Source organism: Homo sapiens, chromosome 9 (assembly GCF_000001405.40).
Source record: "Homo sapiens chromosome 9, GRCh38.p14 Primary Assembly".
In the NCBI taxonomy this organism is placed as follows: Eukaryota; Metazoa; Chordata; class Mammalia; order Primates; family Hominidae; genus Homo; species Homo sapiens.
The window spans coordinates 131,489,059-131,502,610 of record NC_000009.12 but is presented as its reverse complement, the minus strand read 5'-3'; the positions used below and the strand labels follow the sequence as shown (position 1 = coordinate 131,502,610).

At 53.6% G+C, this 13,552-nt stretch overlaps 1 protein-coding gene, 1 non-coding gene and 1 pseudogene across 6 annotated transcripts in view, besides 2 other annotated features; 1 reads left to right on the top strand and 2 right to left on the bottom strand.

Moving 5' to 3' along the window:
- Positions 1,396–2,595: an enhancer, noted in NCBI's record as "BRD4-independent group 4 enhancer chr9:134375403-134376602 (GRCh37/hg19 assembly coordinates)". NCBI's record gives its function as "activates an origin of replication core promoter dependent on BRD2, P300/CBP, MED14 and CDK7 cofactors, and independent of BRD4, by STARR-seq in HCT116 cells {active_cell/tissue: HCT116}" and the evidence as "EXISTENCE:reporter gene assay evidence [ECO:0000049][PMID:35650434]".
- The window catches only part of PRRC2B (proline rich coiled-coil 2B), a 126,543-nt gene continuing 115,408 nt past the window's right edge, over positions 2,418–13,552 (bottom strand). For 3 of the 5 annotated variants that reach the window (NM_001384818.1, NM_013318.4, NM_001384821.1), the window contains exons 29-32: positions 11,031–11,186; positions 10,351–10,442; positions 8,125–8,206; positions 2,418–6,871 (exon numbers count right to left, since the gene is read on the bottom strand). In NM_001384818.1, coding sequence (NP_001371747.1) covers positions 6,737–6,871; positions 8,125–8,206; positions 10,351–10,442; positions 11,031–11,186 — 465 coding nt within the window. In that variant the 3' untranslated portion in view covers positions 2,418–6,736. The remainder of the gene's footprint in view (positions 6,872–8,124; positions 8,207–10,350; positions 10,443–11,030; positions 11,187–13,552) is intronic. The other 2 variants (NM_001384822.1, NM_001384823.1) reach the window with 1 other exon arrangement.
- On the top strand, positions 2,461–3,567 carry LOC124902290 (uncharacterized; annotated as a pseudogene).
- Positions 12,040–12,125, bottom strand: SNORD62B (small nucleolar RNA, C/D box 62B). The gene has a single exon (NR_003050.1). It is a non-coding gene; the product is annotated as a small nucleolar RNA, C/D box 62B (small nucleolar RNA).
- Positions 12,914–13,414: an enhancer, noted in NCBI's record as "H3K4me1 hESC enhancer chr9:134364584-134365084 (GRCh37/hg19 assembly coordinates)". NCBI's record gives its function as "activates a minimal SCP1, AML or CMV promoter by ChIP-STARR-seq in naive and primed H9 embryonic stem cells {active_cell/tissue: H9 hESC(naive and primed)}" and the evidence as "EXISTENCE:reporter gene assay evidence [ECO:0000049][PMID:30033119]".

Here is a 13,552-nt window from a genome sequence, read left to right as displayed (position 1 = left end):
CTTTTCTTTTTTTTTGAGACGGAGTTTCGCTCTTGTTGCCCAGGCTGGAGTGCAATGGCGCGATCTCGGCTCACCGCAACCTCCGCTTCCCGGGTTCAAGCGATTCTCCTGCCTCAGCCTCCCGAGTAGCTGAGATTGAAGGCGCACGCCACCACGCCCGGTTAATTTTTGTATTTGTAGTAGAGACAGGGTTTCACCATGTTGGCCAGGCTGGTCTCGAACTCCTGACCTGAAGTGATCCGCCCACCTCGGCCTCCCAAAGTGCTGGGATTACAGGCGTGAGCCACTGCGTCCGACCTTAATTTTTTTTTTAAGACACGGGGTCTCGCTCTGTCGCCCAGGCTGGAGTACAGTGGCAGGACCACGGCTTGCTGCAGCCTCGACCTCTCTGCCCGAAGCGATCCTCCCTCCTCGGCCTCCAGAGCAGCTGAGACCACAGGCACGTGCCCCCACGCCCGCGGGCGCTCCTAGTTTCCTTGCCGAAAAACATCGATGCCACGATCCTGCTTGCACATACATCTAGCGGTGAAGTGGCTGAGGGTAAGGGCATTTAAAACGGACCTAGGGCCGGGGGCGGTGGCTCACGCCTGTAACCCCAGCACTTTGGGTGGCCGAGGTGGGAGGATCCGTGAGCCCGCTTGAGTCCAGGAGAGCCTGGGCAACACAGCGAGACCCCGTCTCTACAAAAAAATACAAAAATTAGCGGGGCCCCTTGGCGTCTGCCTGCAGTCCCAGCTACAAGGGAGGCTGAGGCAGGAGATCACTTGGGGCAGAGAGGTCGAGGCTGCAGTGAGCCTTGGTCTCACCACTGCACTCCAGCCTGGACTACAAAGTGAGACCGTCTCAAAACAAAAAACAAAACCAAAAAAACCTGGACATCAGTGGGGGCTGCATGACCATCAGAGGCTCCAGTGGGGGCATCTCCCCTAAACTCCGTGGCAGAAGACTGGAGGCTTCTTCCTCCATTCCCAGGGCTCCTCCTCATCCATCAGCCTCTCCAGCCCCCTCTGCTGAGGGTCAAGAGCCTTCCCAAAGGCCTGCTTTGGAGCAGACATGGTACTTTTGGTTGGGTCAATGCACCCCTTCCCATGTTTTCCCTGAACAGTCGGCACCCAGAGCAGGGTAACTGACAGCAACGCAACCAGGCTGATGGATCACTCTTCTCAGCCTCGCTCCTTCTTGATCTCCTGGTCTATTTGTATGTTAATCTATACAGACCAAAAGGGCACACTGCAGGTTTAATAACCTTCATTATGGTTCTTGGCTGCCTGCAAGACTTTTTTTCCATGTTGGGCAACATAGCATTAGATGACACCAGTTAGAATTTCGTGGTTACTTCTTTATGGCTTACCCTTGAGGGGTTATGTGACTCACCCAAGATCCCACAGAGAGGCAAGGAGCTGGGGCTCACCTGGGTTTGTGGCCAGAGCCTGCAGGCAACTGTATTTACAGTGGGCAGGGAGGGTTCCCTGGGCCCCAGGAGGGAGTGGGGCTGGGCTGTTAAGCTTTGGTTCATGCCATGCTAACAGTGGTGGTGCCTCAGGACTTACAGCCTCCATCTTGCAAGCCCCCAACCTTAGGACTAGCCTCTTTCAGGGCTGGTCTCCGTTTGAGATTTTGTGAGCCACCTGTCCCTAGGGAGCAGTAAATCAGGGCAGTGAGTGTGGCTAGTTAAAGCTGAGATGCCCATGGCCAGGTCCCCAACTCTCTTCCATAGTCAAAAGGCTTAGAAGGAAGTTGAGGGACTGGGGTTCCTCATGGAAACAGCGTTTTATTTCTTGGGGGTAATTTATAAGTTTTCTTAGCTGGTTCTAGGCACTAAGCTAAAAGCTACTGGTGACTTTGAATCCACACTACGCCATGAGGTCGATACCATTACAATCTGTGTTTTATGATTAAGGAGACTGACTCAGGTGGTGAAACGTCTTTCCCCAGGTCAGTGAGGCAATGGCAAAACCGAGAACTGCTGCCTCAGCCCATTCTTACCTTTTACCCTTCGCTACCCCAGGCCTGGCTTGCTCCCTCCCCACCCCAAAGCACAGCATAATCCTCCTCCACTTCCTGCAAAAGCACCGCTAGAAGTGACAACACAACACGCCACATCAAATGCTTACCTCCTCTGACCAGCTCGTTTCTCACGGCAAGTGACGGGGCCACAGGCAGGCACTGTGCACAACCAGATGCCATCCGTGGGAAGAGGGTGGAGTGCTTGATGCTGCCGCATTTGGAAGATGCTTCTTAGCCACGGGTTTCAATCCCTTCTCTACCCACACAGCTTCTGTTAAGGCATTTCAGCCGTGCCACTCCTAATTTCCGTGTGAACTCTGTAAAATTAGAATTCTTTGATCTGTAGGTCTCTCTGGTCAAATGACCAAGAAACGAGGGATGTACAACCTGAGAAAGCACGTTCAGCTTTATCTTTTTAAACTTTTTTTATTTAAATAAGGAGAATTCTTTCATATGGAAAGAGCTAGTACAATCACATATTTGAAAGGAGAAACAATAGGTACTGAACCGGAGGGAAAGGGCGAGGGTGAGTGTGCCAGCACCGGCCTGGTGAATCCACGATTCGATTTCCCATCCAAGGTAAGTTTCCCAAAATACCGTATAAACAAGCTGCACATTACACCTCTAGCCATCGTCTGCCCTTTCAAATATCTGGTCTACATGGAAAGACAAAGAGGAAAGGCCAAAACATAAACAAAAGGAAACAAAAACAAAACACAACCCTCTCAGGAACCAAACAAAACCCCCAAATCCTTTTTTACTACACAAGGCATGAGGTCAAAAGCTTGAGTACAGTGTCCCCTTTAGATCACGGGAGAAAGGCGTCCACACAGAGCCTTAGCAGGAATTTCCACTCTGAGGCTTCAGAACATGCTGAAGATGGGGCTCTGAGGGTGCCACTACCATCCTGGAGGCCACCAAGTGGGGTGGAAACAGTGAAGAGCAGGTCTCACATGCCCGAAGACCACCAGCCAACTACACATTGGTGGCCCTGGTGGAGCATGGCTGGGCGACAGCGTCCATCCCCAACACTGAGCCACTCCTGTCCTGGATGACTTCCTGCTTAGGTCCGTCACATTTCAGAAGAGAGCTGGCTTTCTGGAAGCCTACGTTTCCCATTCATCACAGAACACGACAGAGTGCACACATCCTGGTATCCTTGGTCTTCAAAGGCCATTTCCAGCAGACCCTCTAACCCAGGCTTGTTCTGCAGGAAGTGAAAAGGGACAAATGAAGATTTGAGGGGCAGCCTGCAGCTACTTGGCACAGGGGAACCAAATGGCAAGGGAGAAGGCTCCACCAGAGCTGCCATGCTGCCGTAGCAGGCCAGACCACAGCATGGCTGTGCACCTGTGTGTGCTCAGCTTCCAGAAGCTGTCACTGACCATCGCGAAGGCAGATCCAGAAGATAGGAGGGTGACAGCACGGCTGGAGAGCACTGATGTCAACGTTTAACAAGGTTCCCCAGTGTCCCTAGAAGTGGCTGGAAGGACCACAGCTTTGGAACTGAACTGATTTTCTTGAATGTGAAATAAAGTCATCTTTTGTTTTCCCCCTTAAGGAACCTAGAGCCAGAGTGTCTATGAATTCCAAGTTTGAAAACAATATGAATGTTTAAAAAAAAACAAAAAACGCTGTGGGGAGAAGCCAACAGTTAAGAAAACCAAACCAAATGCAGCTGGCATTGAAGTCCCCAGTGGGTAGATGGGCATCTGAGATGTATACCCACACTCTGGACTTCATCCCACTCTAGTGGATGGTGGACAATACCGCAAGGCCACTGGTGGCTGAGCAACGAGCCGCATCCCCAGTGACCAAGGCAGAGCTGCCAGCGTCAGGAGGGCAACTTTAACAGGCAAAAGTGAGTGGGTTCTGACCCCCCAATCCCTACCTCAGCAGCAGGAAAGGGAAGTGCTGGTCTCCACCTGTTCCCACTAAGGCCCCGTGGTATCCTGGCAGAAGCCTCTGCATGTATCTGCGCTCTGAGGATGGGGGTTTGAAAACAAAATAAGACCCTACGTCCTACTACCTTGAGCTTGGCTCTAAAACCACGGGAAAGGAAGAGATATATTGCACCTTAAAACATCTCTGCACTAAGAACTGCATTTCATTAGACCAAGGAGGGGTTGGGGCGCTGGGAGGCCTGAGGCCTGCCCTCAGCCCCCCAAGTCTCATTTAAAACCTGCATCTCAGCGAAGAGACTGCAGCTCAGGTCACACACAGGTGGTGACTGCACCGAACTTCACATGCAATTTCCTGGCCTTTCCTGCACAGAATTAATTCAGACATTATATATAAATAGAGCAGTGAAACATTTACTTCTTTTTTTTTCACCTAGACCTACAACATCAATACATATAAATAAATTCTAGTGTTTTTTGTTTTTTTATTTGGGGTGGGGGAGGAGAAAGGAAGGAAATACCAGGTAAGAGAAAAGGGCTGGAGAACAGGTGACCTTTTTGTTTTTATTTTTTCTCAAACAGCAAGTACTGTGGGTCTGATACCAGGTTCACCTGAAGGGTACATCTTAACAGCATCCAGAAGGCTTTCTTTTGACAAATCACACGCACCACCGCATCAGGTGGGAGGGGTCTGGCCATGCGGCTCAAGTGTCCAGGTGGAGATGAATGTGTGGCTCCCGCAGGCCTGAACTCACCCAGGAATGGCTTGGCAAGGAGGGCCGGTGGGGACAGAGAGGGCTCATCCCAGGCCCCACAAGCAGCCGCTTGCAGTGGGAGAAGGAAAAGCAGACAAGAAGCTCAGGTAGGGAATGCCTGGAACTGTCGGGTGGGCAGCCCCTGGGGAAGGGACTCAAGCATAAAGGCTTGGGATAAAGAGGGAAAAGACCAGGTGAGGGCAGGAGGGGAGCTGCTGAAAGATGCAGGTGAACAGTAAAGCACCTTTCAGTAAAACTGCCCTTTCCCAGGCAGCTCTGGGGTGGGCGCTGTTGGTAGGAGGCCGTTCTCCCGCTTCCTTAGAATTGTGAGAGCAGTAAGAAGTTACTTCAGCAGTTCCTAAGATGCTCCTTCCCCATGTTCTACACTAGACACAGAGCTTAGAGCCCAAGCCTGAGCGCTGTCCTGCACCCGTGAGACGCTGAAGGCAGCCTCTGGTGGGGGGTGCATCCCCGGCCCCCTCCTCTAGGTGTTCTGAGCCAGCCTCCTCTGGAGGAGGAGGTAGACGCTCAGTGACCCCTAAGAACAGCTGAGAAACCTGAACTGTCCCCTTCCCTTTCCTTGGAATGACAGAATCTGGAGTGATTTCCTTGTTTCTTACTTAAAAACAAGCCCAGCACACGATGGCTCACACAAGCCTCTGGCTGGAGAAGCTGCCCTCCCGGAGGCTGCGCAGGCCCTTTGGACCTTGGTCAGCCCTCCACCCAGCCTCACCCTGGACCTGCCCCCGCCGTCTGAAGACAAACGAGACTGATGCCTACTGCTTAGCTCAGGCCCTCCTGTCCTGACAACCTGGGTCTGCTGCTGGGAGTGAAGCAAAGGAGGAAAAGGACAAACTCCCAGTGGCCTCACTTGGGGACCACACACGGGTCCACTCCCTCCATCACCAAGTGGTGTTCACGATGAGCTGTGTGGGAGGTGGAGACAGGTCCAGAGAAAGCAGCAGGCTCCGGAAGAGGAAGGAAGGAAAATGACAGGTTACAGAAGGCTTCAGGGAAAGAAATGTGTGAAAAACACAGCACCCCTGCAGGGCAGGGTATGGAGCCCCAGAAGCAGAGCCCACGGGGCCTGGGATGGGCCTGTGGTATGTCAGCTCACCCCATCTGGGCCAACCTGGGAGCCACCAGCAGCCATCTCCATGATTTGTCTCTGGTGCCCAGCACATCCACTGGCTTTAGAGGAGCCCAGGACAGGGACCCTGTGTGATTCTCATGCTAAAACTGTCATCAACTTCATGGGCTGCCTGTAAGCGCCCTGGGCTCATCAAGCCAGGAGCTGGAACCCAACTATGACCCCCCCCCTCCCCCAACCTGCCTGCTGCTCTGAGCACCCCATCGCTTCCCAGGCGGGGAGCCAGGCACCAGAATGCTCGCAATCGGTGCCCTCAAGAACCTCCTTTTCTTTTTGCAAATAACCTCAAGGGTGAACCAGCTGAGGAATCAGGAGGGGATGCATTCTTAAGAGTCACCTCTTAAGGTACTGCAGTGACGTATCAAACTAAACAGGACAGAGGCTAGAGATGGAAGGGAGCGGAGGGGCTGGCAAGAAACATATAAAAGTTCAGCTATACACATGGAGCTTGCGTTTTTGTTTTCTTTTCCTTTCCCCTTTGTAAAAACCTTGGCTACATTTTAAAACAAAAAGCCTCAAAGTAAAATGACCCTGCTGCCAAATCACTGTGCCTAGGGATGGGCGGCTGGGCCGGAAGCACTGCTGAGAAGGCGCCCTGGCTGCGCGGCAGGACAGGGAGGAGGCAGGGAGGGCAAATCTGCACTGCACAGGAGGCGTCACTCCACAGTCACGGTAGGAGCAGATGGGATGAAGGAGTCGTCTGCTTTTTTGTTTCGTATCAAAGCAAGCGGGTCAATGCCATATATCCACGGGTGCAAGCTGGTTGACAACGGAGCTTTCGGGAGTGGAGAGGAGGGAGGTCTCTCAGTCTGGGCCACGCATTTGGACGGTGGATCTGGTGAGGCTCCCGAGTGTCGGCTGTGTCGAGGCCGCATGGCGGCACCGTCCTCAGTAGGGAGAGGCGAGGTGGCAGCCAGGCACTGTCAGGCCTTACTCTCCTCCACTTTGACAGCCCGAGGCTTGATCGCTCCGGTTCGCTTCATCTGGGAGGCAGCCGAGGGGGCCTCCTGCAGCTTCACGGCTCCCAGGCTGGGTTTCTCATCCACTCGTTGTTTTGCCTTTGGACAGATGAATGGGAAAAACAAAGTGACCCTGACGCTGAAACGTGTTTGGATACATAGTTCCCACCACTCCCTTCCTGCTCCTGAGTTGCAGGGAAAGCTCCCCTAAGTTGTCAGTCCCTTGGTTGAAGGACCAGACTTAGAAACCCCCCTCCTAGTAAGGAAAGTGGCGCGAGTGCCGTCTCTGCTCCCTCCCCATAAGCCCTGAGTGCAGTGATTCGGAGAGGCAGGAAGACACCGGGTCCTCCACAAAGAATTCCGCGATGGCACATCCCAGGGCGGAAGCAGTTCTGGTCCCAAGGCCAACTGGAAGAACCTTTTCAAATCAGTGCACCTCCTGCCCCACAGGCAAAAAAGGCCCCTTCAAGTAGATCCAAGTGCCCCCTGCACGTCTCGGAGCCCCCGACTGTCTGCTGGGGCCCTAGGCAGACTTGGCCCCCACAGATCTCTGGCCGCGATTCAGCCAACCCCCCCACCATTCCCACTCTGTAACCTTTCCCTGGGGCCCCATTCCTAGTCAGGGCTCCCCTGGTCTGTGGCTCTACACGGGGAGTGGGGTGGGGAAGTCACAGAGCAGCCAGCGCATCTGCCCCCCACCAGGTCTGAACTCTGGAAGAAAGCTTTAGAAGCTCATTCCACACAACTTTCATGACCCCTAGGGGAACCAATGAGAGCAATCACTTCCCATCTCTACCAGCCAGGCACAGTGACTGATTAAAAACCCACGTCTGAGGGGCTTAAGCTCTGAGCCCCAGCACGTTTTAGAGAATAGAGAAGAGAATAGTGCGTGCAGGAAAAGACACTGCGATGTCCTTTTCATTATAAAATGGGAAAACTTAATTTCACCTGTGCTCCCACCCAGCCAAGACAAAGATGAGACACACCACTGACTAGAACCAGCGCGCGCACCCCGGCTCCTAAAGCCGACCCCCAAACCTAACCGAGTCTCCCAGGGCGCCTCAGCCCCGACCTGCCAGGGCTGGTCCACCTTCCAGCACCACCTCCTCAGAGGAATCAGCATCCTCCCTTCTCTGCAGGACAAGGAAGGATCCAGACGCCCGTCAAGAGGAGAAATGCCTTCGCCAGGAGGGACGCGGGCGGCCCAGCTCCCGGTTCTGTGCTCTAACCGCTAGGGCATGGCTGTCTTTAGACAGGGGGCGCTCAGATAGGTTGGACAGTCCCTTCTCTTTTGGCGCTTGGAGACGGGCCTAAGTGTCCAGGGCTGAAGGGTCTGGAAAGCCATCTTCTACCTGTTGCACGTAGTGTCCCTGCACAGAGCCCATGTTAACTGCTGATCCAGAGGGCTTCCCACTGGGGCTAGCAGAGCTAGGCCTGAAAAAACCAAAGGCAGGGGTTGAGAATACACAACGTGTCACCACAGAAATGGAGTCAAAGCCTAGCACATGGAGGAGGCACAAGGAAGGAAGGGCCTGCGGCCAGAGGCGCTCACTCGGGACGGTCCGTGGATCTCTTGGATGGAAAACAACCACAGACCTAAGACAGCCCAGAACGCAGAAGGGTGAGGGGGTGGCTGTCACTGACCACCCTGGCACCTCCAGGACAGAGCTCAAGGAGACGCACCGCAAGAGAGGGAGGCTGAGGCCCTGTACAGATGGGCATGGCTGTCCTGCTGTGCAGAAAGCGACACTGGCCGTCTCAGGGTCTGGACCAACACGATGCAGTGCCCCAGACAAAAGGCCTAGAAGCCTGACGCTGAGCCAGAACTGTGCCGAGTATTGTTCTAGTCTTCACTTTTCAGAAAAGGGGATGGGGGAACCAAAATGTACAACATGCTTCTAAATGTGTTCCACTGACCACTAGTTAGTTCCCAGGGATGTTAATTAGGTGCTACGTGGAAAAAAAAAAAGTCTGCGGTCAAAAAGCCTAAGTGCCGTGTGCAGAGTTCAACAGGACTCTCAACCTAGGCCCGCTCAGCCTGTGTGGTGAGTACCCTCCCCAGCAGGCCACCCTGGGGACAGCACTCCCCCAAGGACCTGACCAGGGAACCCTTGTTTTTGCAGCGCACATCTCAGCAGCTCTATTTCCAGAACACTTTGGCAAACACTGCTTTATACAATTATAGCAATTTCCCCAACCCCCCTAAAACACCATAGAAACAAAGCTACTAGTTTAAGGCTTCCACTTTCTAAATATGCTCCAAAGAATAATCTGCTGCCATTCATTCCTACAACTACATAGACACAGGCGACTCTTGTCCCGTGAGGCTCTGTCTCTGGGTTTTGCTTTTTGAGGAAGGCTCTGTAGCCAGAGGCTGCTGGAATCTGCCTGTGGCAGCAGCGGGACAGCGTCTGCTGAGACCTGCAGCCGCCTTCCTCCTTCCAGTTCCGCTCCATGGTCGGTGCTGTCCAGCTATCTTTTTCACACAGTCCTGATGTTTTGGTCTATGTGACAGACATGGTAGGAAAACGAAACGTACTAAAAACAGAAATAAATGAAGCCAGGAGAGTGAAAATAAGAACAGAAAAGATGGAATGGGAGGAAAATCTACAAAAACCCCTTTCTCTGGAAATGAAGGTACAAGAGTGGAATGCTGTGATGGAGGACAGGCAAAGGGCGGTGGGGCAGAGGGAGGGCAGCAAGGCAGAGGGGGTGCAGCTGGAGCAACTTGCAGACCATGGGGGCCCGGCTTGCAGAGCGCTCCTCAGGCCCACAAGTACCTGTGTAGTCGTGGGGATACCTCATGGCGTCTGCAGCGATGGTGTTAACCTCACAGGGCACCATGGGTCAGGCAGGTCTGTTTCACTCATTTGTAAACACAGAGGGGTCTCAGGAATCTCCCACATGTAACAAGGGTGGACTGTACAAGCCCTCGGAGCCCAGGGCCAGAGCGTGCTGCCTTCACACACCAGCACGGGCAGAAAAGGCAGTGGACCAGAGGCTCTCGCCAACATCCGACAGAGCCACCTGAGTATCCAGCTAAGGGGACCTGAGACAGTTGCTGGAGGTGGAGACAGACACAAAGGAAGCAAAAAGAGGGTGCTGGTTTGTAGCATGGAAGGAATGGCCCCATAAGCCCAGCAATAAAAAGTCCCCTGGCAGGGGTCATAGGGCAAGTCTGAGGAAAGAGACGCTGGGAAAGGCCACGCTCCTCCCCTTGCCAGGATGCAGCCCTGTGGCCAGTGGGTCCTGTTTTTAGGATCTAATGGGAAGTCACGTCAGTCCTGATGCCTACTAAATGTCAGCCGTTCCTTTTCCTACCTTTCCAGAAAGCTCCCCAATCCAGAGCATCTTATTATAATGATTAAAACCAAAACCACTCTCCTGACTCCTCACTCCCCCAAATTTAACTGGAACACAAGTGCATCCCAGTGCTGAAACACCACAGTGACACATGGCCCATAGAGGGACCAGGTCTCTGGCGGCTCTCCCTGGGCCCAGATTCTTCTGAGTCACTGGGCCGCAGCTCTGGCAACTGCTCAGCTACACAGCACGCAGTCCCCAGGGAGTGGCTTTACCTGTAGGTCTGTGGCGATGGCACGGGGCCTCCTGAAGGGACATTCTGTTTACTGTCGGCAAAGTGGAAGCCTTTCATCTCCATCTGAGAGGGCTAGAGAGACCAAGCAGGAACAAGCTGTCATTTGAGGCCCTGGAGACAGCTGGACCACACACTTACTGAACAACCCAGGGCAGAGGTGGTGAGGGCCATGGGAATTCCCAGGGAGGCATCTTATAGAGCAGTGGTTTTTGGCACCAGGGCCCAGTTTCATGGAAGACAATTTTCCCACAGACCAGTACAGCTCTGCAGCCCGGGGACTGGGGACCCCTGTTCTAGAGAAATCTGCAAGCCCTTTCCCTCTAAGCCAGACTCAAGAGGGCTTCTTCTTAGAAGCAAGAACCATCACAATATTTTGTTCTTTTTAAAGTGAAGTGGGAGAGCCAATGAAACATGGCCGTCCATAGCAGGGCCTCCTGGGGAGCTGGGGAGGAATGCTGATTCCTGGCCCTCAGCCCTCGACATGTTCAGAGTCCCCAGGACCTGCCTCTGTGATGGCCCCACACATGGTCACCTTCCTTTCTGCCCTGGCAGTCCCACGCCACTGGCTCTTTCTACCACACAGGGGTACTTAGCTTGCTAGAAAAAGTTGGTGACACAAGGCCCCCTCCCTAGGGTCAGAGGCAGATGGGGTCCCCTTACCTCTCTGCTGGTGTTCAGGACTGGCGGCTGGGACCCGGGCGGAGGAATCCTTCGGGGGGCCCCAACGGAGAGGCTCTGCCCAGGTGGCAGCTGAATAGACTGGGGCAGGATCAGTGGCTGCTGCCCGGAGCCGTACCGAGGCAGTGGCATGGTCAGCTGCTGGGCGACAATGACAGTCAGGAGGGGGAATGATGCTATGGAGAAACCCCAAACGCACCAAAGAGCGACCGCACATGCACTTCAGATTCATACACTTCAGAAGAACTAAAGCAAAGCCTGCATAAAGCAGGACATGCTCTAATTTCTACTGCAGCACAGGAGAGATCGCCCAGGATTTCACACCTTCGATGGCAGAGGCACGTCTTCTTGCTGGAATAGAGTAGGTGGTGAGAAAACGGGCAAGACTAAGCTGGCTGCAGGCATGGGAACTAACAGCGTTAAGTGTGTCTCATCCACATCTCTGCTAAGGGCTGCGTCTATCTTCAGCCCTTTCTGCCTTTGTCCAGCAAGTGCTTACTGAAAGCATACAAGGTGCCAAGGAAGCGGCAGGGCCCTGTCCAACATGGGCCTGCACACTGCCAGGATAGTGTGTCACACACTGGACACAGCTGCAGGACACTCGGGATGCAGAGCGGCATAGGATCTGTGGGTGCACACCAGATTTATGGGTGCACACGGGGCGGGGTGGGCAAGGAGAGGACGAGTGAGGAAAGTCAGAAGTAATGGCGAAGCCAAGTCCCAAAAGATGAAAGCTGCATCGGACGTATATCTCTGCATTCCTTTGTACAGCACACACGTTCAAGACTCTTACTGTTTTGCATCAAGTGGTGGTAAAAACAAGACTGGGCTGGATTCCAGACTGTGGGGGTCCTTTGAAGCATGCTGACAGGAGAACAGGGTAGCTGCAGGGCCTAACTAACTAGAACAAGATATGCGAGGTGGGGATGTGGGCCCAGAGACTGTAAGGACAGGGGAACAGGATGGGGTAGGGGGGCTGGGCCACTTTTGGTCTCTCAGTCACTGTCCTCTTCATCTCCCTGCTATTGAGTCCACAGTGGAGGGTCAGAAGGATCTATTGGAATTACATCACTGAGACTTGTGGTGGCCAGAGCCGCAAAACACCATGCTCCTCCTTGGAGCACCAAAATGGTGCAGGATGAAAATGATGGGAAGATGCTGCCATTTATAGAGTGCTGACTTGGGGTATGATCTGACTTGCAGGGAGGCCAGGTAGGAGTCCCTACAGGAGCTGGACAGCATGCAGGGGTGTGGAGGGGATGAGACACAGCTGGATTCTGAATCCTTTTAAAGCCAGAGCTGACAGGCCTGCTGAAGGGTAAGGGGGTGAGGTGAGGGGGAGCAGGGAGCCAAGGAGGATGTGGACTGGACAAGCAGAAGGACCGGGAGGAAAATCGAGTTTTGAATATGATGAGTCTTGAGATGCCATAAGACACCATAGCAGACATGCTGGAAAGTCCATTGGATTTGAGATTCAATTCCAGGGACAGATCTGAGCTAAAGATGTCCATTTGGGAGTGAGGAGAAGATGAAGGAATTTAGAGCCATGACTCTTGAAACACACCCAAAGCAGGGCCCACGGGCATGCTGACCATTACAGACTGGGAAGGAGAGGGGACAGCAAAGGAGACTGAGGAGGAGGCCTGAGGCAGCAGGAAAGCCAGGAGCGACGGCCTGGAAACTGGGTGAAGAAAGTGGTTCGAGGGGTGTGGGGGGCGGGATTACGGGGTCAGCACTGCAGCTCGTCTGTGTACTGACGGGAAGGGATATCTGATGCATGAAAGAGAGGGAGATGTGCTGGGGCAGGGCCCCCCAGGGGCACAGGCAGCACCTAGGCAGGGATGTGGCCACAGGGGCTTGGAGACTGTCACTGCTCCTGTTTCCTGGGTGACACAGAAAGGGAGGTCATGGGTGGGAGGCAGCGAGGGGCAAGATGCAAGTCTGAAAAGCTGCTAGGAGGGTGGGGGTTGACTGGGAGCCACAGCTTGGATGAAATGCAAAGGCCATGTGGCTCGGCAGATCTGCTGATGGGGAGGAAGAAGCCAGGCCAAGGGGGAGGATGACAAAAACATGGGTGGCAGAGACTGGGTGTGGTGGCTAACACCTGTAATCCCAGCACTTTGGGAGGCCAAGGTGGGTGGCTCACTGAGGTCAGCAGTTCGAGATCAGCCTGACATGGTGAAACCCCCATCTCTACTAAAAATACAAAAATTAGCCGGTGGGTGGTGGGCGCCTGTAATCCCAGCTACTCGGGAGGCTGAGGCACGATAATTGCTTGAACCCAGGAGACAGAGAGGTTGCAGTGAGCCGAGATTGCGCCACTGCACTCCAGCCTGGGCAACAGAGCGAAACTCCATCTCAAAAAAAAAAAAAAAAAAGAATTTTGGAGTTGGGTCACTAGAGGGAGTGAATTGAAAAAGCCAGAGGTGACAACTGAGAGGGACACTGAGAGTTGAGATTATGCGAGAGCCACAGCTACTGGGAGCAGCCAAGCCTAGACAGGA